The 21,465-nt window shown below is 37.7% G+C and overlaps 1 protein-coding gene across 7 annotated transcripts in view; it reads right to left on the bottom strand.

Moving 5' to 3' along the window:
* CCDC85A (coiled-coil domain containing 85A) overlaps nucleotides 1-21,465 on the bottom strand; it is a 202,323-nt gene that overhangs the window by 39,531 nt on the left and 141,327 nt on the right. For 6 of the 7 annotated variants that reach the window (XM_024452642.2, NM_001080433.2, NM_001348512.1 and 3 more), the window contains exon 3: nucleotides 3,689-3,765. The exons of the other annotated variant lie outside the window; for it this stretch is intronic. In XM_024452642.2, coding sequence (XP_024308410.1) covers nucleotides 3,689-3,765 — 77 coding nt within the window. The remainder of the gene's footprint in view (nucleotides 1-3,688; nucleotides 3,766-21,465) is intronic. 7 annotated transcript variants of the gene reach the window in all.

Raw genomic sequence — 21,465 nt, 5'->3', positions numbered from 1 at the left:
CTGGCTCTTACCTTAGGATACCTTTGAAATGTTGTGTTCACAAACTGGGTTTAAAATACTGCTCAGTGATTCTTGCAGGACACAGTACACACCATGGCAGATCAAGGAGCTCTACATTCACTGGGGATGACTTGCCACGGTGGCTGTACAGAGGCTCCATCAGCACTTCCTGTGGGCTCCTCTTCACCACTGGATAAAACTAACTTAATCTTCACTGCCTTTATCTGTGAAAGAGTCCTTCATTCTGGGACTTGAACATTTTGTATATGTATAAAACATGGGCCCAAGCCTTTATTTACCCCTGAGCCCACAAAATGTAAGAGCTGAGAAGAACCCCTTCATTTACAAATGAAAAAATTAAGGTCTTTGCATCTAACCAGGGAGAAATCCACAAGCATTTATTATATTCATTGTGTTTATTTTTAAATATTTATATTGCTAGGGCAAAGTTGTGACTTTCTGTTCATTATATACAATTTTATATAAAGAATAAAAAGGAGCATTGAGGAAGATTTCTTCCTCCAGGACAGTGCTTTACATAATTAGTCTGAACTCTAAACTAAAAGCAAAAATTCTGGCTACAGCTGCAAAGGTGTTTTACATACTTGGGATTCCAGCTGCCAGCTACATTCTTACTTCTGTTTATTCAAAGACAAATGGACACGCTTTAATAAATTTGGGAGTGAAAAGGAATACCTTCTGATCAAGGCATAGCAAACAAATTCTTATAACTGAAAATCAAGTGTTCTAATATTGAGATTAACTTAGGCTAGGATGTCAGCTTTTCTCATTGAATTGACCTTGCAAATCAGCTAACATCATAGTTAGAAACAGTTTCTGCAGGGAAATCTCATGACACATTATTTGTAATAGTATCAGTAACATCTAAGAGTAAGTTGTACAGGTAAATGCCTTTGTGTAATCCAGCTGAAGTCTCAGTCTCCCATGAGAATTCTCTACATGATGCTCACTGTTCTGACATCCATTTATTGTGTTCCATCCTAGGGTCTTACCTACTGTCTGTATTCATGTTAGTTTGTATTTATAGGAGTAGCTGCAACTGGTACCTCTATTATATCTTAGTAGTAAATGAAGGCACCACTCTCTGATATAGAAATTTAACAGAAATCCTGTTTTTGAATTGACAGATCTACTGCATTCTTTGCATATGTCCAACAGCATATTTCAAACAATGGGTTCTCTTTGTATTAAATTACTTTGACAAGTAAATAACTAAATTACTTTGACAAATAAATAACTAAAACTAAAACATTGTTTTCCCATTTGTAACATCGCTGAAATCTGCAAGAATCTGGCATGGTATAACCGATACCATTTTTCTTTTGTAATGCTACATATCATGATGGTGCATCCCACATCAATAACATCTTAGCATCAATAAAACATGATCTTTCCTAGCCATTTCTTAGAGAGAAAAAAATGAAACAAAACAAAATGAACCAAAAAACCTTCCTTGGTAGCAAAATAGTAATGTATTTCAAAGGATATAACTGAACACTTTAAATTGAGTAGTTGTTTAATCTTGCTTAGTCTTAACTATGCAAGTACTATGTATTCCAATACACATAGACACATCAAGTATAGTTAAGGACTCTTCTGATTTTCCTTCAAGACTTCTAACACTCACTTTCACAGGTTTTTAAGAATCAGCCTTGTCATCATTTTCACATTTGTTGTGCCTCTTTTTTTTTTTGATAAGATGGCATACATGCTATTAGTTTGCTGTTTGATGTCAGCCTCAATTCCTTCTCAGAAGGAAACTAAGAACAAAAATCACTTGGATTTTTTTTCTATTTCTTTTACATTCCCAGTCGCCTGAGAGATGGCACAACCATGTATAATAAACTAACTAGATTTTGTAGGTTTCTTTGTAACAAGTAAGAAGTTAGATGTTTTCAGTCAAGGGCCTTAGGACAGTCATACTGTGAATTTAACATAAAAGGCAAAAAGGAACACAAAAAAATTTTAAAAGGAAAACAATGAAGAGCAAAGAGAAAACAAACCCACCAGTAGTATTTTATTTCATGACACAATCTCTTCTGTCATCATGAATTTTAACACATGTACAGTTTGAGAAGAGATAGAAGTACAGAATTCCACCCTTAGCCTCAGTTTCTGTTACTTGTAGTCAATCAGGGCCCAAAAATATTAAATGGAAAATTCCAGAAATAAACAAGTTTTAAATTGTGGGCCGTTTTGAGTAGTGTGAGGAAATCTCATGCTGTCCTGCTCCATCCCACCTGGGATGAATCCATGCTGTCTACACTTCCTGCCTGTTAGTCACTTAATGGCCATCTCGATGATCAGACCAATGGTCACAGCATCTCAGTGCTTGCGTTCAAGTAACCCTTATTGTATTTAATAGTACTTTACTAATAATAACTTTGTTATTAGTGTTGTTAATCTCTTACTGTGTCTAATTCATGAATTAAACTTTATCATATATATTTATGTATAGAAGAAAACATAGTATTGTAGGGTTTGGTACTATCCGTGGTTTCAGGCATCCACTTGGGGTCTTGGAATGTATTCCCCTTGAAAAGGGGGACAACTACTGTAGGTTTATTTCACTTAATCTCATGATTTCTGGGCAGACTGTTAGCCAATGGAAGAAAGAAAAAAGGATTCTTATGTGCAGTACCTGATAGCCCAAATCATCACTAATGAGCAAAAGTAGTTCAAAAACAAAACAAGATTAAAAAGACCTAAAATGTCTTTCTAAAGGGTCTTTGCATTAATGTTCAAATTTCTTCTCCTGAAATACCAACCTGAAGATTGGTTAGTCTTTGACCTTTTATTTAAACTACTGCTTACTAGTTGTTTGAGGTATAATTTTGCCTTAGTCATTTATGAAACAGAAATAATTACCAGAATGTAGAAAGAACCCTAGTGACTAATTTCTTGGAAAACTTCTTGTTATAAAACATTAAAATATATTATTGTCCACATGCTTGAAAAGGAAACCAACCTAGAATCATATTTGTTCAACTCCTCAACAAAACATTTTCTGAAAACCACCTCCTCAAAAGACCAGCATCATTCTCATCAAGTTAACAGCCCATGGAAAGAATTTTATAAGTGAAACGTATGGGAAGACATTAAACATCCTGGAAAAAGTGCCACTTTACTTTAATTAAGGGGAAAGAAATGAAGTCCCAAAGCAAAAACTGTCAATTGCTGTCATCACTTTGTTGCACTGAAAGAGTTCAATTATACCACAAAGAATTTTAGAATGTACTAATTTAATTATAATGCGAAACCTTCCAACTACCTATAGCTTTGCCTAGTTCAGAAATTAGCAAGTTTTCTATTTAAATAAGATTACCTTCCCTATATCCACCAACCACATGCATGGTGTATATGAGTAGTACTATCGACATGTCTTTATTTTCTACTTCTCATTATTTTATCCTTCTCCTTTGTTCTTCCTTTCAAAATTATTTCACATTCTCATTTCAGATATCTGCACCCTTTAGTATAACACTTAGAAATCTGGATAAGATGATGGCCATCATGGAACATAATCACACTCTACATTGATGAATGGCTATTTACAAAATGATTTCTATCATTTAAAAGACAAAACGTCATTGAGCTTTTAAATTCCAAATAAAATACTACAACTTAAATGGCACTGACTAGCTATGAGCTTCTGGAAGTCACCCACCTGGGGCAGCATGCGATTTTCTTCCTCCAGCTGTCTTACTCTTGCCTCCAGCTGCCTAACATAGGACAAGGTTGATTCTAAAATTAAAAAGAAAGAACTCACATTATACACACAGGTCTTGTTTGGTGTACTGTCAGGATATTTCTGGCTTGATTTATTCAAATCAGACAGTGACTATTTAGTCTGTTATTTAAAATGAGAAAAAAAAATATCTCCCAGAAAAATAAGAACAGAAGCCACTGAAACTAAAAACAGTTTTGAACAATTTTACAACGTTAAGAAATATTAGATAAGACACAGACTGGCATATTTACAGGTGGTAGTACACACAATTGACGATTAGTATTAAGATTCTATACAGAACTCTTACAAACCAATAAGAAAACACAAGTAAAGGTATGGAAAATATTTGTCAGAAGTGGAAACACACTAGACAAATAAACCTAAGAGAAGCAGTCCAACATCATTATTAATTAGTAAAATCACGCACACTTAGAACAGGGCAAAACCAGAACTCAAACCTGAATCTAATACCGAAATCCAGTCTCTCCACTACTCTAAGCCCTTTTAGCTATTTTTAATCACTAAGAATTGAGACATTTCAGAGGAAGACTTTTAAAAATATTTCTGAAGTTTGATCCTCTTAAGATGGAACAAATATTTTTCTGAAGTCAAATCGTTTTCCACAAATCTTTCTTAAATGTTTAGTATTTCCTGTTCTGCAATAAAGTGTATTGAGGTCAATTTAAAAAAAAAAAAGTATTAGAGAAAATTATAGGTGGTGAGACTGCAGGCTTTTTGCACACCAACCAGCCTCAGAATAATAGGCATCTTGAAGACAATTATACTCTTTTCTTCTGATTTTGTACATTTTGAGTTGTCAATGAGTTGTTCTACATATACAAGACTATTTTGTAATGTTAACTATAACCAAAATAAACTACAAAGCTACATTAAAAAAAAAAACAGAAAATAAAACAAAATTTTTCAAACATCCAGTTCTCTTTATTTCTCCCAATAAAAATTTCAAGACTTAAGAAAAATATTTGTTCTTTTCACAAACTTACAGACATTGACAGAAAAAACATGAAAGAGCTATTTAGAGTTAGAATGAATTTTGACTGATTTTGGCTGACTGTGACAGAGACCCAAGTTTTTCACACATCTTTAGGTAAACCAGGAGCAGACCTGAAATTGACTATTTTTTTCATTTCTTCACAAGCTCAGGCATGAGCTGAAAGCTCAGAATCATTATCATGCTTAGCTTCTGTTCCATACTGAACTCTAAAGTTTATGGCTTTATGTCAGGAAAAGGGGTCACAGGTGAAGAAAAGTAAAATTTTATTTCTGGGAACAATCTGATAGTAACTCTTCTTCATTAAAGTGAAAATATTCAAGATCATCACATAGTAGCAATTCATTCATCACACAACAACAAAATATTTCAGGTGCAGTGAAAGGTACACAGCAATAGACTTTCTCCAGAGCACACTTCTGTTACATTAGGTAGCTAGTCAAACATGAGCAAGGCAGGAGAGGGCTCCCCGCAAGCCCACCCACCAAGAATGTCAGGCAACCATCACGGGATAGTCAGGTGGTTGTTAACTGTCTCTCTAAAATAATAATTAGTTGCAGTCAACCCAATAGATAGAAAAAACCTGGTACTGTTGATTACCACTTCCCCAGTAAGATCTCTGGAGTTGGGCGAGTGGTCTCAAGCGTGTGTACTAAGAGGAAAAATAGCAGTTTAATTGGTATATGATCTTCCTCTGGAAATGCGAGACGGCTAAGGGAAGAATGCCTCAAGTGAGCGTGCATACATCTTCAGTAAACACACTGCACATGCTCCCCTCCCAAGAGCTAGCAGGCCACTGCACATGTGGACAGTTCATCTCAAGGGAAGAATCAGTGTAGAAGGGACATGAAACCCCAGAAGTACGCCAATGTATAAAACCCAAGTCAAAAGGTCAAACAGTGCACTTGATCTCTCAAGTCACCCACCTGACCCTGACTCTCTTCCAAATGTACTTTACTTCCTTTCATTCCTGCTCTAAAGCTTTTTTTTTTTTTTTTTTTTTTGAGATGGAGTTTCACTGTTGTTGCCCAGGCTGGAGTGCAGTGGCGCGATCTCGGCTCACCACAACCTCCGCCTCCCAGGTTCAAGCGATTCTCCTGCCTCAGCCTCCCTAGCAGTTGGGATTACAGGCATGTGCCACCACGCCTGGCTATTTTTTGTATTTTTAGTAGAGACAGGGTTTCTCCATGTTGGTCAGGCTGGTCTCGAACTCCCGACCTCAAAAGATCCTCCCGCCTCGGCCTCCCAAAGTGCTGGGATTACAGGCATGAGCTACCACGCACAGCCATTCTAAAGCTTTTTAATAAACTTTCACTACTGCTCTAAAACTTGCCTCGGCTTCTTCTTCTGCTTTATGCCCCTCAGTCGAATTAGGGGCAAGAACTGGGGCTGCTGCAGACTCATATGGTTTCGCTACTGGTAACACTTCCATAGTTAATATTGAAGCAGAACAACCTCCTCAGTGTTCATGTTCTTCAGCCTCAGACACACAAAAAGGGCAAGAGGCAATACGGTAGTGCACCTAAGTGTTTGGAGCCCCTAAGGATCCACAGTTAGGATGGATATTGATGCCCTGATCTGAATTTCATCATGGAAACACAATTATTTTATGTGGAAATAGTTTATATGAACCCAATTCTATTTTTATGACCTCTAAAGCAATGAGCTAACACTTTATTTTCTAAAATACATAAGCATCAGTCCTTAATTCACAAATACAACAATTAAGCTCATCTCTGACTAGCTTAGAGCAGGCCTGTTTTCCAAAATAGTGTGCAGAAAGCCCCCATCACTGACATTAACATGATGACCCACAGACCTCACACCATTGGAGACAATTAGCTTTGAGCATTTCTCAAATAAGAAAATAGAAACACAGGTAAAGAAAACTGAAGATATTTGCTAAAGATATCCTCTCATTTTTTTAGCTTAATAAAATCTTAAAACTCTGCTTTATGGACTCTTCCAAAGAGGGGAAAAGTATGCAGCATAAATGAATAGCAAAGTTATTGATTTCATGAGTCTGCTTTACTCTTGCAAATGAATTCAGTGATTTGCAGATCATCAAGATGTGAATGTAGATTGCCTGATTTACACTGTTTTGCAAGCCCTGCTCTTTCCTCTGGAAAAAAAAAACCACTTGATAAGGCCATCCAAGTGAAAAGTTCATCAGCAATATTCTATTTAAACCACACAAAAATAAAGTTATTTTCTTTTTTGTTCACAATTTACACCTTATCTTTATTGCCCCTATGCTGCACTATCTATAAGGCTGTGATACTTAAAGCAGCTGAAAAGACTACACAGATTGAGTCAGGTGAAATTTGAAAAATGCTATTGAACGGAATTTGTTTTAATTCAGTGACTGTCTTCAATCCCTTCATCTATTTCTCTTTTCAAAATCTTTGCAGTTTATATATCTGATGTTTTCACCAAGTCTCTATTTATATTATGAAAGTATTATGTCAGTTCAGGAAAAAAGGGGTAAATTCCTGAGTTTGGAAAATATCCTCTCTCGTTTTTAATGTTGAATTACAATAGATCATGTCCACATCTTTTTTCTAAAGCATTCACTGCAAATATGGGCTGGGACAGGAAGAGACAGAGCATAGTTTTAAACAGGTGAAATAATGAAAAAAAATGGCTTTACAGTGAAGGCAAAGGCAAAAACATTTTAAGTTCATTCATTCAACAAATATTTATTGTGTCACTGATTTGTGTCAGGCACTGTTCTAGGGTTAGGATGAAGATAAAGCCAGTTATTGCAAACCTTAATAACTTTCTCAGAACACACATTCCCTATTAGATTACAGGCATTCCAGAAGGTCCTGTTAATTGTTCCAGGTTCTTAGCCCCTGTTGCAATTATTACTTAACAATTAATGGATACTCAAACAAAAATACACTCTTCCTGGGGGTAAAACACAGGAAGAATATCTGATCTACATGTATAAATAAGAGTACTCAGGCTGTTTTGTTTCATTCAGAAAGAAACTGATTACACCATCCTTTAATGGGAGTGGAGTAGAAAAATATTTTTCTGGAATATACTGTGAGATCAGCACTGGGTCCCCAAGCCCCTATAGGAAAAGCCATTAAAAAAAAAATCCAATCTCCCAACTGTGACATGAGAAAAAAAGAAGAAATATTTGTTTCGTTAAACCCTTGGGATTTTGAGGTTTGTTACTTACCATAGGTCAGCTGAGCCTGACTAGTAGTGCATAACCAATAATTAAATTTTTTAAAATGTAAGCTATATTTTAAATAAAATAGAATAAAATAAAGTATAAGAAACTCAACACTTTCTTAAAAAAAGTCACATCCAAATCCACATCTCAGTCATAGCTAATCATTAGGAAAAATTGATAGAAACTTCTCATGGTGAGAGGAAGAGAAGAAAGAAGCCTTTTGGGTACTGGAACACATTGACCACATCCGCTGCAACCCCCTTCCCCATGCTGCTATTTCCCTTTTTTGTCCTTTTTCAAGGGTGTCAACTATAATATAAGGTGATCTCCCGGTACACTCAGGGAACATGATGGATAGCTGTACCTAAGGGAAGTGTCTAAAACTGGCATTCATTTTATCATAAAGTCATTAATAGAAAGCTGCATTTGAATGTACCATAATTTAAATTGACCATTACATTTTATACCACTGGCTGACAGCTTCATAAAACTGAGATTTCAGAATGCCATTTTTGGCTTTTAGAACTCTGAGAATGAGGCTCCAAAAGAGCATCAAAAAACAGCCAAATTCTCAGCTACAAAGTACATAAATATATAATGCATTAAAAAAGGAGCTGGCTAGGTGGCTCAAGCCTGTAATCCCAGCACTTTGGGAGGCTGAGGCAGGCGGATCACGAGGTCAAGAGGTCGAGATCATCCTGGCCAACATGGTGAAACCCTGTCTCCACTAAAAATACAAAAATTAGCCGGGCATGGTGGCAGCTGCCTGTAATCCCAGCTACTCGGGAGGCTGAGGCAGGAGAATCGCTTGAACCCGGGAGGCGGAGGTTGCAGTGAGCGGAGATCGTGCCACTGCACTCCAGCTTGGGTGACAGAGCCATACTCTGTCTCAAAAAAAAAAGAAAAAAAAAAGGAGCCTATATTCAAGAAACTTATAAGCAGTTGGGAGAAAATAAAAGGGAAAAAACAATAAGGTAATTTGAAATTTAGTACTAAATCCTGTGAAAGGGGAGCAAAGAAAAAAATCAACATTGGCAGTAGTTCTTACGAAGGAGAAACTGAAGCTTAAAATGCATCAATAGAATTTTGATAGGCCAGAGAGATATGAGTGGAGCCACAGATGGACCTGGGCCAGAAGCCAAAAATGATCCTATTGTAAACACAGAAAGAAAGGAATCACATGACGGAAAAGAAAGGGACATGCAGGTACAGGAGGAGAGGCCAGATTATTTCCCACAGTCACCTATCTGGAAAAGCAAATATCAAATCACGATAATCCAGTGGCAATTTGCTTTAAAGCTCCCAAAAGTTATTTTATTTCTCTTTCCACCCTGGGAAACCTATGGGCATCTAGACATTAGAAAAGTAAGGTGAAGCAAACGATATTGATGTGAAAATCCAATGACATCCTCAAGATGTTCTTTGGGTGAATCTCAGGCCCATTTTCAAAGCAGGAACTATTCTTTGAACCTATGTGTAAAAGTTCACAGCATCTGTTGCAAGAAAAACAAATTAAGAAACATGCATAAAAATTCCATTAAATTCCGCATCTTCTAAATTCAAATTTTACTGGTACTACGTACCTTAGAGCTTTTCTAATTCAACTTCTGCCACAATCCTCTGACTTGTTTTGCAAATAAGAGAACTAAAGCTCAGAGTGCGATGAACTTGGTTGCTAACAATGGGGACTAGTCAAATATATTCAAACAATTGTGTTTCATTACTCGAGCACCACATTAATTCTCATATTGGATCTACTAATCATGAAGTAACATACATAGATAAATACTAAATTCTTTTTTTTTCCTCCCTGACTTTAGATATTCTTGATGGATTTACCTTTACAGTAACTTGATATTTCCTCAGACAATATTCTTGACTTGATTTCACTTCAGCTAACCTGCAATGCATTCAATTGTATAAAGGAGCTCTGTTCGTTTTCTCTGTTAGTTTGAAAACACTCTGATAAAAATATGAAACCCTCTTTACTTCCCTTTTGTTTCTAAGGCAGTGTTACCCTACAGAACACCTATCCTTGAAATCACCCACAAATTACACTGATGATTGTATATAAAAGGTTTATTATTGGTATTTGCAACTGTCTAAGGTTTGTCACACCTCTGAGTGGTTTTGATTAGATGAAGTGATGTCATCTCTCCAAAATCTCAGGGCAGAAAATAAAATCTGGTAATGGTCCATTCTGACACAAACTACAGCATTTTTAAGAGTGTATAAGAGGAGGCTGGGCACACTGGCTTGCACCTACAGTCCTAGCACTTTGGGAGGCCAAGGCAGGCAGATCACCTGAGGTCAGGAGTTCGAGATCAGCCTTGACAATATGGTGAAACCCCGTATCTACTAAAAATACAAAAATTAGCCAGGTGTGGTGGTGCATGCCTGTACTCCCGCTACTCGAGAGGCTGAGGCAGGAGAATTGCTTGAACCTGGGAGGTGGAGGTTGCAGTGAGCTGAGACAGTGTCATTGCACTCCAGCCTGGGGGGACAAGAGTGAAACTCCATCTGAAAAAATAAATAAATAAATAAATAAAGAGTGTATATGAGGAAAATTATCTGGAAGACTATAGTGGCCATGAGTTTATAGATGTTAGCTTTTATGTGGCTCTCTAAGAATTAGTCTCTGTGTTGGCTTGACTGTTTATCCCTTTCAAAAATCATGCTGAAATTTAATTGTCATTGTAACAGTATTAAGAGGTGGGACCTTTAAGAGGTGACTAGGCCATGAGGGCTCCACCCTCATGGGTGGGATTGGTGCTCTTATAAAAAGATGAGTTTGGGTCAGGCGCAGTGGCTCACGCCTGTAATCCCAGCACTTTAGCAGGCTGAGGCAGGCGGACCACGAGGTCAGGAGTTTGAGGCTAGCCTGGCCAACATGGTGAAATCCCGTCTCTACTAAAGATACAAAAATTAGCCTGGCGTGGTGGCAGGCACCTGTAATCCCAGCTACTCAGGAGGCTGAGGCAGGAGAATTGATTGATCCTGGGAGGCAGTGGTTGCAGTGGGCCCAGATTGTGCCACTGCACTCCAGCCTGAGTGACAGGGCAAGACTACTTCTCAAAAAAAAAAAAAAAGATGAGTTTGGCCCCCTCTTGCTGTCTTACCTTCAGCCATGACATGATGTACCAAGAAGGCCCTTACTGAATACTAACCCCTTGATCTTGGATTCCTCAGTCTCTAGAACTGTGAGCTAATAAATTTCTGTTCACTATAAATCACCCAGTCTGTGGTATTCTGTTATAGTAGCAAAAAGTGGACTAAGATAGTCTCTCTCAGCAAAAGAGGCCAATAGCCACATGCTTTCCAATTCACAGACAAACTTTTCAATAAACCCCAAGCGCTAAAGGCATGGCTTGCACTCATTCCATATGAATCCCACTATCCACAGGCTTTTTCACATCCCTAAGGAAATTACGTCAGAACTGTGTATTTTAAAAATTATTACTGTTCTGAACAAAGTGTTTTTCTTCTTCAGGCAAGCAAAGGTCAGCCTCCTACTTAGAATCCATATTAACTCCACAAGTATAAGTGATTATATTTCTCACTAAAATTTGACGCTTTTCTTATTTTAAAAAAAATTTGTTGGAACCAGCACTTTCAGATTTGCCTGGATATTTAATTCATACTGCCTTATTAACAGAAATAGAATTTTTAATGGGGCTTTAATTGCCCTAAATAATCTAAAATTGATATCAGATTTTGCCCTAGTCCACTATTTATGAAGCAAATTCTACTCTTCTCAGACCTTTTTCTCTCTGCCTACCCAAAAGAGATGACAGTTAGTTCCTCTTCCCCTCCTCCCATGCAGAAATCCTTTCAGTTTGTCTTTGGCCCAGAGCTCTCTTAGCTCTGTGTCTCTGCCCACACATTCCCCTAGCCAGCAGTACTTTCCTCATTCTTCTCTGCCTAGTCAAATACTCCCTATTCTTCCTTTCATGGAATGAAAAATAGCTTTCCAATAATCAGAAATGCCAAAGATTGGAATATACTGCTTTGTACCATAATGTGCTCTTGTTGTTGGAGGTATTCAGAGAAAGCTCAATGAGATATTGCAAAGCTCTCTACCTGTGTATATTGTTAGGCTGATCCCTTTAATTCTGAAGGCCAATAATTCTACAATATCAAATTTTCCCATTCTGCAAGTCTCTTTCAATTTTCCTTTTCCTCAACTCATCTGTCAGTGAATCACATATTGAATGTCTTGTGATTTCTCTACCTATTTCTCATAGTGTTGTTTTCAATTTTTGCCCAAAAATGCTATATGAAAATATTTCACTAACCCTCAAACACTGACTAGTTGTGTTCCCTGCAGGAGTTTAATGAATATTTGGTAATTTACTTTAATATTACAACACTTCCTCACCCAATAGTTATTATCTGCTATGTGCCAGGTATTGTTCTAGGTCCCGGGGATACAGTAGCAGCCAGGAATGATAAGATCTGGGTGTTTATGGAGCCCACATTCCAGCGGTGAAGACAGGCAGTAAAAACCAAATACAATATTTTATGAAGGTGATTTGTACAACAAAGGCAACAAAACAAACCAGAATACTAGGATAGAGAGATTTGGGGAAGACAGCTACTTCAGGAAGCAGTGTCAGGGAAGAGCTCTCAGAGAACTAAGATCTGCATGTGAAAAAGCCAACTATGCAAAGATCTTGGAGAAGAGGGTTTTAGGCAGAAAGAAAGGTGGTGCTCAGAAGCACTGGCTGGGAAGACCCATATTCTGGAATCTAGTCATGGAGAGGGAAGTGACAGCAGCTTGAGACAGGAATCTGTTTGTCTTGTCACCTTCCTCCACTGCTTAAATTTTTAAAGCCTTGTGCTCTTTTTGGCTGTTTATATTTAGACCTAGTTTTAGACTCTTCAAGTATTATGCTTTCCTTTTAACAAAAATTTTAGAATTATGCGTGGTTCCTCTCTCTCACACCCCACTTCCCTTCCATTGGGAAATTTTTTTTGACCCTACCTCCAAAATATCTTGAGAATCCAACCTCACAATAGTTGCTTACAAAGTACCTGCTTCTATTCTTGCCTCCTCCTCCCCCAGTGCTATTTTCACCCACAGTCTATTCCAAACCCATGGCAGCCAGGGTTTTCTTTCTAAAACGCTAACTCTGATCACATCATTCTTTATTCCAACCCCTGCAGTAGCCTCACCATTTTGCTCCAAATTAAGGCCAAAGTTCTTAAAAAGTCCATCAGGGCCCTGTGTGATCTGACTGTTTTCTCTCTGACTTCATGCCCTCATTCACTCTGCACCAGCCAAAGGGCCTCCTTTCTGTTCCTGAACACCATAGATGTCTTCTTGCCTCATGAACTTTGCCTTAGTTGTACCCTCTTCCTGGAATGCTCTGTCCCCAGTCAAATGTTTGGCTAACTTCCTCACCTCTTACAAGTCTCTGTCCAAATCACAACTTCTCATTGAGACGTGCCCAGTCCTCTCATTTGATCCTGCCACCTGCCACACCTCCAACCCACACTCCTGATCTGCTTTATCCTGCTGTATTACTGTACCAACTTTATTTTCATCAAAAGACTTCAACACCTTCTACCATATACATTAGCTTGTTCATATATTATGTGTATTATATAAGGCCTGTTTCTCCCTACCAAAATGTAAACTCCACATTGTCTATCATGTTAACTGACATAGTTGAGTGCCTAGAATAGTGTTTGGCACAATAAAATTCTATTGAAGGAATCAACCAGTAATGTAGAAGTTCCCCTTAAGGAAATTATTTCATTATACAGACCTATACTTTTCCATTATTTCAGCCAAAACAGGATTTGTATTTAAATAGGGCCTAATTCCAATTCTGTAATGACGTTTGAAAGTCACTCTATGGAACATTAAACTTTGGATGGAAACTTTGGACAGGTTCTCAAATGATGTCAGATTCAACCAGTGGTGGGTAATTTCAATAAAAAGTCTTAAGTGTTCACCAGGCTCAAAAAGGTAGAGCAGGGAGAGAAGAGGGAGAGAGGGGGGAAAAGGGGGGGCAGTGAGAGAGGGGGAGAGAGAGATAGAGAGACAGAGACAGACAGTGAGAGACAGAAAAAGGGAGAAAGAGCACCTGTTGGGGAGTGCTATGGCCTGAGTGTTGTGTCCCTCCAAAATAAGTATGTTGAAACCTAACCTCCAAGGTGAGGGTATTAAGAGACGGAGCCCTTAAGAGATGGCTAACTCATGAGAGAATAGGATTAACACCTTTATAAAAGAGTCTTGAAAGATCCCTTTCCCCTTCATGGCAGGCACTGCCTATGGGCTTCCACCAGACACCAAATCTATGGGTGCCTGCGTCTTGGACTTTCCAACCTTCAAAACTGTGAGCAATAAATTTCTGTTGTTTATAAATTACCCAACCTAAGGTATTCTGTTGTATCAGCCCAAAAGGACTATGAAGGGGTGGCAAGAAGAGAGGGAGACACAGAATTAGGTGTGGGGGGGTCTACACAATATGGACTATTTCTACCACTAAAGTCTTAGAATACAATCTAAATGCCCCTCAGCTAGAAATCTGCTTAATAAGGTTCTCTTTTGGTTACATATGCCCACTGGAAGGAAGTTAAACTTCACCTGAACATTTCACCCCACCCCACCTCCCATCCCACCCCAGTGGAGGGGTACTGACGGAGCAGGAGCAGGCACAGCTGTGTGCAATGCACGGCGGGGCAGGTGTCCGACACTGAATGAGAGGCTCTGCACCGCCAGAGAGCAGCCTGGGGGGCGGGGAGGGGGCAGGGGGCAGCAGTCCATATCAAAAGGGCATTTTTTTGTGAAGAGAAAAATCTAAAATTTTCAAAGGAAGGGAAAAGCAAAGCTATGTGTTGCCCTGTATAATTATAACGAAGGCTGAAAATACTGAATCATTTTCCAGGAAGGGTTTGATGAAAAAATCACGAGTGCTGTTCTTTTACTGCCATGCAAGTGCTGTGTTTTCTGAAACAGCAGTGATTTTTGTTTCATTTAGTATTTTCTATAAAAGAATAAATAAATGAACATCTAAAACTGATGGTTTGCATATAAATCAATTTAGAAACCAGAAAAAAATTATTAGGGTCTATTGTACCAGAAGATAATCACCATAAACGTGTTCAACCCCCCAATCTTCCCAAAGCAAATAGTTTTTTGGGTTTTTTTGTATGAATTTAAAAGGTACAAGTGCAGTTTTGTTACATGGATATATTGCAGAGTGCTAAAGTCTGAGCTTTTAGTGTAAACAACACCCAAATAATGTACATTGTACCCATTAAGTAATTTGTTTTTAATTTAATTTTATTTTAATTCTGGGATACATGTGCAGAACGTGGAGCTTATATAGGTATACAGGTGCCATGGTGGTTTGCTGCACCTATCAACCCATCATACAGGATTTAAGCCTTGCATGCATTAGGTATTCCCATTAAGTAACTTCTTATCACTCATCCCCTCTCCCACCCTCCTATCCTCCCCAGTCTCCAATGTTTATTATTATTCCACACTCTGTCCATGTGTACACATTACTTAGCTCCCACTTCTAAGTGGGAACATGTAGTATTTCCCTTTCTGTTTCTGAGTTATTTCATCAAGATAATGGCCTCCAGTTCCATCCATGTTGCTGCAAAAGACATGATTTCATTCTTTTTTTAAGGCTGAACAGTATTCTATTGTGTCTATACATATACCACATTTCCTTTATTCAATCATCCACTGATAGACACTTAGGTTGATTCCATATCTATGCTATTGTGAAATGTGCTACTATAAATATACAAGTGCAGGTACCTTTTTGATATGATGATCACTTTTCCTTTGGGGAGATACCAAGTAGTGGGAGTACTAGATCAAATGGTAGTTCTATTTTTAGTTCTCTGGGAAATTTCTATACAACTTTCCATAAAAGTTGTACTTATTTACATTCCCACGAACAGTACATAAGTGTTCCCAAAGGAAAGAGTTTTTCAAATGGGGGAAATGGCATTTTGTCACATATGTGCCGTTATTCACCTATTTACTTGTTCCTTGGGAATTGGTACCTGGTGGTTTCAGCTTCCACATCTCTCTATATGTGGGGCTCCATATGGTGAAACTTTGCCTTACAGTTTGTTTCCAAGCTGCCCTATGACTAGCACAGTGCTATGTGCTACTACATGCTGAATAATGGAAGAAAGGAAAGAGGGAGGGAGGGAGGAAGGCCCTCATCATTCTGTTCCCAGATGCTACTGAAAGTTCTGTGCTCCCAGGACAGTTTGAAGCAATTATTCAAGATGCAGTTAAATTTCTACCTATAAAACACACAATACAAGCAATCTAAACAGAAGTCTGGCTCAGAGGAACTTCTTTATGCCCTAAAATTGCCTTCACTTTTACTCTTCCCTTTGAAAGCATCAGCCCCACAAAGGAGGTACCAGGAAGGTGGCAATAAATTGGGCGACAGAACTGGGGACTATACGGAAAATATTTCAATCTCTGAAGAGCTATTTAGCATGAACACCATTATAACAGCTATTCAGGGTTAAAATGTGTCTTACTTTCCACTGTTATGTTGCTGCTGTTATTGTCATTTCCCAGAGAAAATAACTGCCTTTTCCTAATGCCAGAGGATAAAAGTGGATGCCATTTTAATAAATGTAACAACTTTCTTTAATGTATGTGGCCCTCTTTAAGTGCATCTAGTCGGTATTGTCAATGAATGCACAAAAAAGGAAATTGGTAAAAAAAAAAAAAAAAAAAAAAAAAAAAAAAAAAAACAGGAAATCTGTAAAAAACAAATTTTCAAGAAAGTAAACCTATAAATATGTTATTTTCTCTTAGGACAATTAGCGTGCCTTTTTATGCATATTTAAATGCTTTTAAAAGCCCATGTATGGTTGGCTTTTTAGTTATACTCTTCAGAAAAACAAAAATAATTTTTATCAAATTATACAGCAAAGCATCATTAATTTGAACTTAATCAATTGGGAATTCATAAATAAATTCATTGAATTTAGCCAGCATATACTCTGTACTGGCTATGAAACAACAGATGGCAAAACAAACTCATACACAATGTAACAATCGAGAAATGTTCCTTTATATAAGAAAAGCGACATTCTCACATTTTACTTAGCATTATCTATCTGTACAGAAAGTGATTATTTCAAATAAATCCAGTTAGTTTAGATAATCTAAATTAGCACATACTTTGAACTTTTTTGTACGTTGGAATTTTTCATATATTTGTCAACAAATACTTCATAATTACTCTGTTAACATATATTTATTAAGTACTAACTATGTGCTAGGGGTACTCCATTGAAAAATAAGCAAACAAGACTCCTCCTCTCCAGGAACATTCTAGTAGGGAAAACAGGTACATAAATAAGCACACCACTGCCCTGTATGTCCCACCACACCACTTTAGCTTAGATCTACATCATCAGAGAGGATCTGAAGTATCCAAGTTGAGACGTAAATACAAACATTTGGGAATGAGCTTTCCAAGCGGCAAGAATAGAACTTGAGAAGTCCCTAAGATGGCAATGAGCCTGAGAGATTCAGAGAAGAGTAGTGGCTGAAATGCTCAAAGTGAAGTGAAGGAAATGAGGGGGGAAGGGAGAAGACAGGGAGGATGCAGTTGTCTCCTGGAAAGGAGACAAGTCCCAGGGCATCAGTAAACTAACATAAGAAGCTTGGATTGTGTACTGCTTGCAGGAGGAGCCCACTGAGGAAGGGCGGATGTGGTGTACTGTGGCAACATAATCTGATTTGTATTTTAAAATGATCATTCTGGCTGCCTTATGGCACCCAGAGAGAAAAGAAACAAGAATGAGAGAGGGTGACCACTGAGGGAGCTGCTATGGGACTGGACTGAGAGATGACTGTGGGTTGTGCATGAGCCAGGGCAGTGGCGCAGAAAGCAGCCAGATTCAATACGTCTCCAGGAGGTACAGCCAACAAAACATACATATAGTGTAGATGTGACGTATTAAGGGAAAAAAAGAAATCAAAGATCATCGCTATATTTTTGGCATGAACGAATATCATGCAATGGCTTGGAGAAGGAGCACAACTGGGGTTTGAAACCAAAAGTTCTATTTTGTTCATGTTAGGCTTAACATTTCCACCAGACGAGGAAGGGAAGATGCAGAATAAGCAGTTACATAGGTGGGTCTGGAGCTCAGAGAAGAGACCGGCAGTCTTGGTTTAAATGTGAAGTCCACAGCGAAGAGCTGTTGAAAGAAAGTATGAGGATGGAGAAGGGTCTGACGACAGAAGTCAGGTGGAAGAGGCAGAGCTACAAAGCAGAAACCCTTCCCCAGTTCACTTTATCCCCTTGTCCCCAGCCTTGAACCTTAGAAAGCTGAGCAAGTATCCAGCCTCCCTCAATAGACAAAGACACAAATCTCCTATGTCTTCCTCTTGGGTGCATTTCAGCGAGTTCTCTCTATCCTTCACTCTTACCTCTGTTCTATTCCTAAATCCAACCCTCTCGTTGTCTTGCTTATCTCCTGCTGCTTCCTTTTAGCATGCTTTTCTCATTCTTCTTCATCTGGGACCCCTTGCTCTTCAAGGGAGATTTTGGAAAGAGTGAATTATGCACAGTGACAGAGTGTGGGTTCTGTTAGACTTCCTGGATTCAGATGACAGCTCTAATTCTGCCAGTTTGTAACTTTTAGCCAGTGTTTTAACCTCAGTTTCCTCATCGGATAAAGCAGATAATTACAGTATCTTCCTTATTAGATTGTTGTGAAAATCAAGTGAATTAATAATGAAAAGTTCTTAAAGCAAGGACTAGCACAGAGCAGGCATTCAGTAAATATTTCTAAGCAGTCAAAGTGAGAGCCGGGCAATGCTTAAAATCTTTTTTTTTTTTTTTTTTTTTGCCTTACTCTACTCATCCCCAGTAATTACTGAATATTTCTCAGTACTTGGTCCTTGCCTTTCCTGATTTATATCAAGGAGAGACAAAACTCTTTTCAAGCATACAGACATTTTATTCCATGTATTCCTACAGATCTCTATGTTAAGGAACTGGGGCATACTAAGTGGGTGAACTATACCATGCTGAATATTATGTCCACTAAAATTAGAATAACTATACTACTAAGACACCGTAGGCTGGGATATCATTTGTCACAGCTTAAAAATGTTTTAAATGTAACAACCATACTGATTTAGCATAAAAGGCGAATATGACAAATCTTTAGGAGTGATTCTAAATAACTGAACATATACACAAGGAAAGAAGAAGTTATTTTATTGGGGCATTTTAAGGGACCAAAGGCCAAATGCATACTCACCACAGGAAGGGATTTTACCAGTTCAAACAGCTCTAGGTTGGAAGTGTTCCCTTTTAATTCAAACTCTGTGACTGTCCAGGCATATTAGCATCATTGGGTTTTAATTTTCAGTAATCAAACATGAATACTGAGGTAGATGATCTTTCAGACTCTTTAACACCCACAATTCCTGGGTTACAATTGCCATGCATTTTACAATAAACCTTATTAGTGGTTTAACTGCTAAAGGCAGCTAAGATAGTCTTTCTAAAGGCATATGTATATTACGTTGCAATTCTTTCATTTCTTCATTACACAAACATTTGTGGAATATCTACCATGTATAATATAAGGCCTTGGGAAAGCAGAAAATATTTAAGACAATGTTACAATGTTCTGAGAAAAAGAATAAAGCACATCCATGTGATAGATGCATACCAGTTCTGATTATGGTAGTTAAATATCCTTAGCTGAGGCTTGTTTACACTTCAAAACACTCTTCTTTAAAAGTACTTCCTTAAAGATTTCTGTCCTAAACTCTGTATGCTTAAAAACTCTTTGCACTGAAAAAATTACCTGATTAAGAAAAAAAAAAATACTTCACCTTAATCCTAGTGTAAAGGAATATTACTTGATGCCAGTAAGAACAAATTATTGAATGCTTGCAGAAAAACAGTCAAAAAGTTATGAAAGAATGACATACTGTAAGCATTTTATTTGATAAAACTATTCTAACTAAACAATGTGTCAGGGTTTTTTTTAACTTTTGGTAGTAAAATTGAAATAAGAAATAAATCTCAAGAGTCCTCTTAAATCCAGCCAACACAGGGCAACCTAAATGTGTTCACCCAGTTCTTTATGCCTTTTAATTTTAGAAACACTTCACAATAGTGTAGTACGGAGGGAAAGTTCTGGTCAGGAAAATTCCTGCTGACCTTGAAGTTCATTTGGGCCCTTCTAGTTTCACAAGGATTCTATCATTTTTTCTTCACTAAATACTTACTAGGCAACAACAGACTAGTCAATTTGGTCAAGCAAGCAAATCAGATGACACAAAATAATGCTAATGACATTTATTTGATTTATTATGTATCAAGCACTTTGCCTAAAAGCACATGCATTTTTTACATGTATTTAATCTTCACTGCAAAACTAAGAGGCAAATATTCTTATCCCTATCTTACAGATAAAAGATTGACAGCTTAGAGATGTTAAGTAATTCCTCAAAGTCACGTAGGCTGCAATTTCTGGACTTAACCTGAGGTGTGCCCAGCAAAGCCCATTTCTGCAGCATTATAAATAGTCCTCACTGCTGGAGAACATAGATGCTGCAGAGAGACAAAGTAAAGGCCAAATTAAGCAAGTTTCAAAGAATTTGATCGGCACCAAGTCTGCTTGATTTAAACCCTCTTCCTTATCATTATACTTGAATGCAACACTATCCCTTAGTTGATGCATTTGTTGAAGGAATGAAAACCGTATTTTGCCTAAGACACAATAACTGCATTATCTCCTTAATCAGTTCAGTGGTGCCTTTAAATAAACAAGAGTCAGCCAAAGTGAAAATGGCCAGTTTCAGTCAACAACCAAGCCATCCAAAGCAAAGTGCTTGAATCTGCTAAGTCATTAGTGGGCTTAAGAAATACAGATGCCACTCACAATGCAGTGTGCAAAAAATTTCACAAGCTTCTTACAACCCAACTCTCAGAGGTAGACAGAAGACAATGACACACACACAGGCAAAGTGCAGTTTCTTCTGGCTTGTAAATGTCCAATTTTAGTTTTCAAATGAGCTGCTTTCCTGAATCTCTCCTGGATTCTCTCTCTTCTGGAAAACTGAGGAATCCAAGGAAATGTTCACTCTGTTCAATTTAAAGTCATGACTATCAATACTGTTAACATTATTTTTGGTGGATAACAAAAGATAATTTGATGTATGTCACCTACAGAAGTCATCACAGACATTAGAACAGAAATTGCTTATTCCCCACAAATCAAATATCTCAATGCACTAATTTTAAAGTAATCCATCATTGTTCACAAAATCTTATGGGCTCTGAGAATATATATCAATATTTATGCTTCCTGAGAAACCAGGGTAAATACAATAAACTTCTCTACACCTAAAGTAACTATTATCTTCAAATGATGGTTTCTTAGGCTAACTACATCTCCATATAGCCTATAATTATACATATAATGACCAAAAGGAAATTTTAAATTCATGCTGGCCATAAATGAATCTTAAATTTTATT

This window comes from Homo sapiens, chromosome 2 (assembly GCF_000001405.40).
Source record: "Homo sapiens chromosome 2, GRCh38.p14 Primary Assembly".
In the NCBI taxonomy this organism is placed as follows: Eukaryota; Metazoa; Chordata; class Mammalia; order Primates; family Hominidae; genus Homo; species Homo sapiens.
The sequence above is the reverse complement of the archived record's forward strand: the minus strand, read 5'-3'. Positions and strand labels throughout refer to the sequence as shown.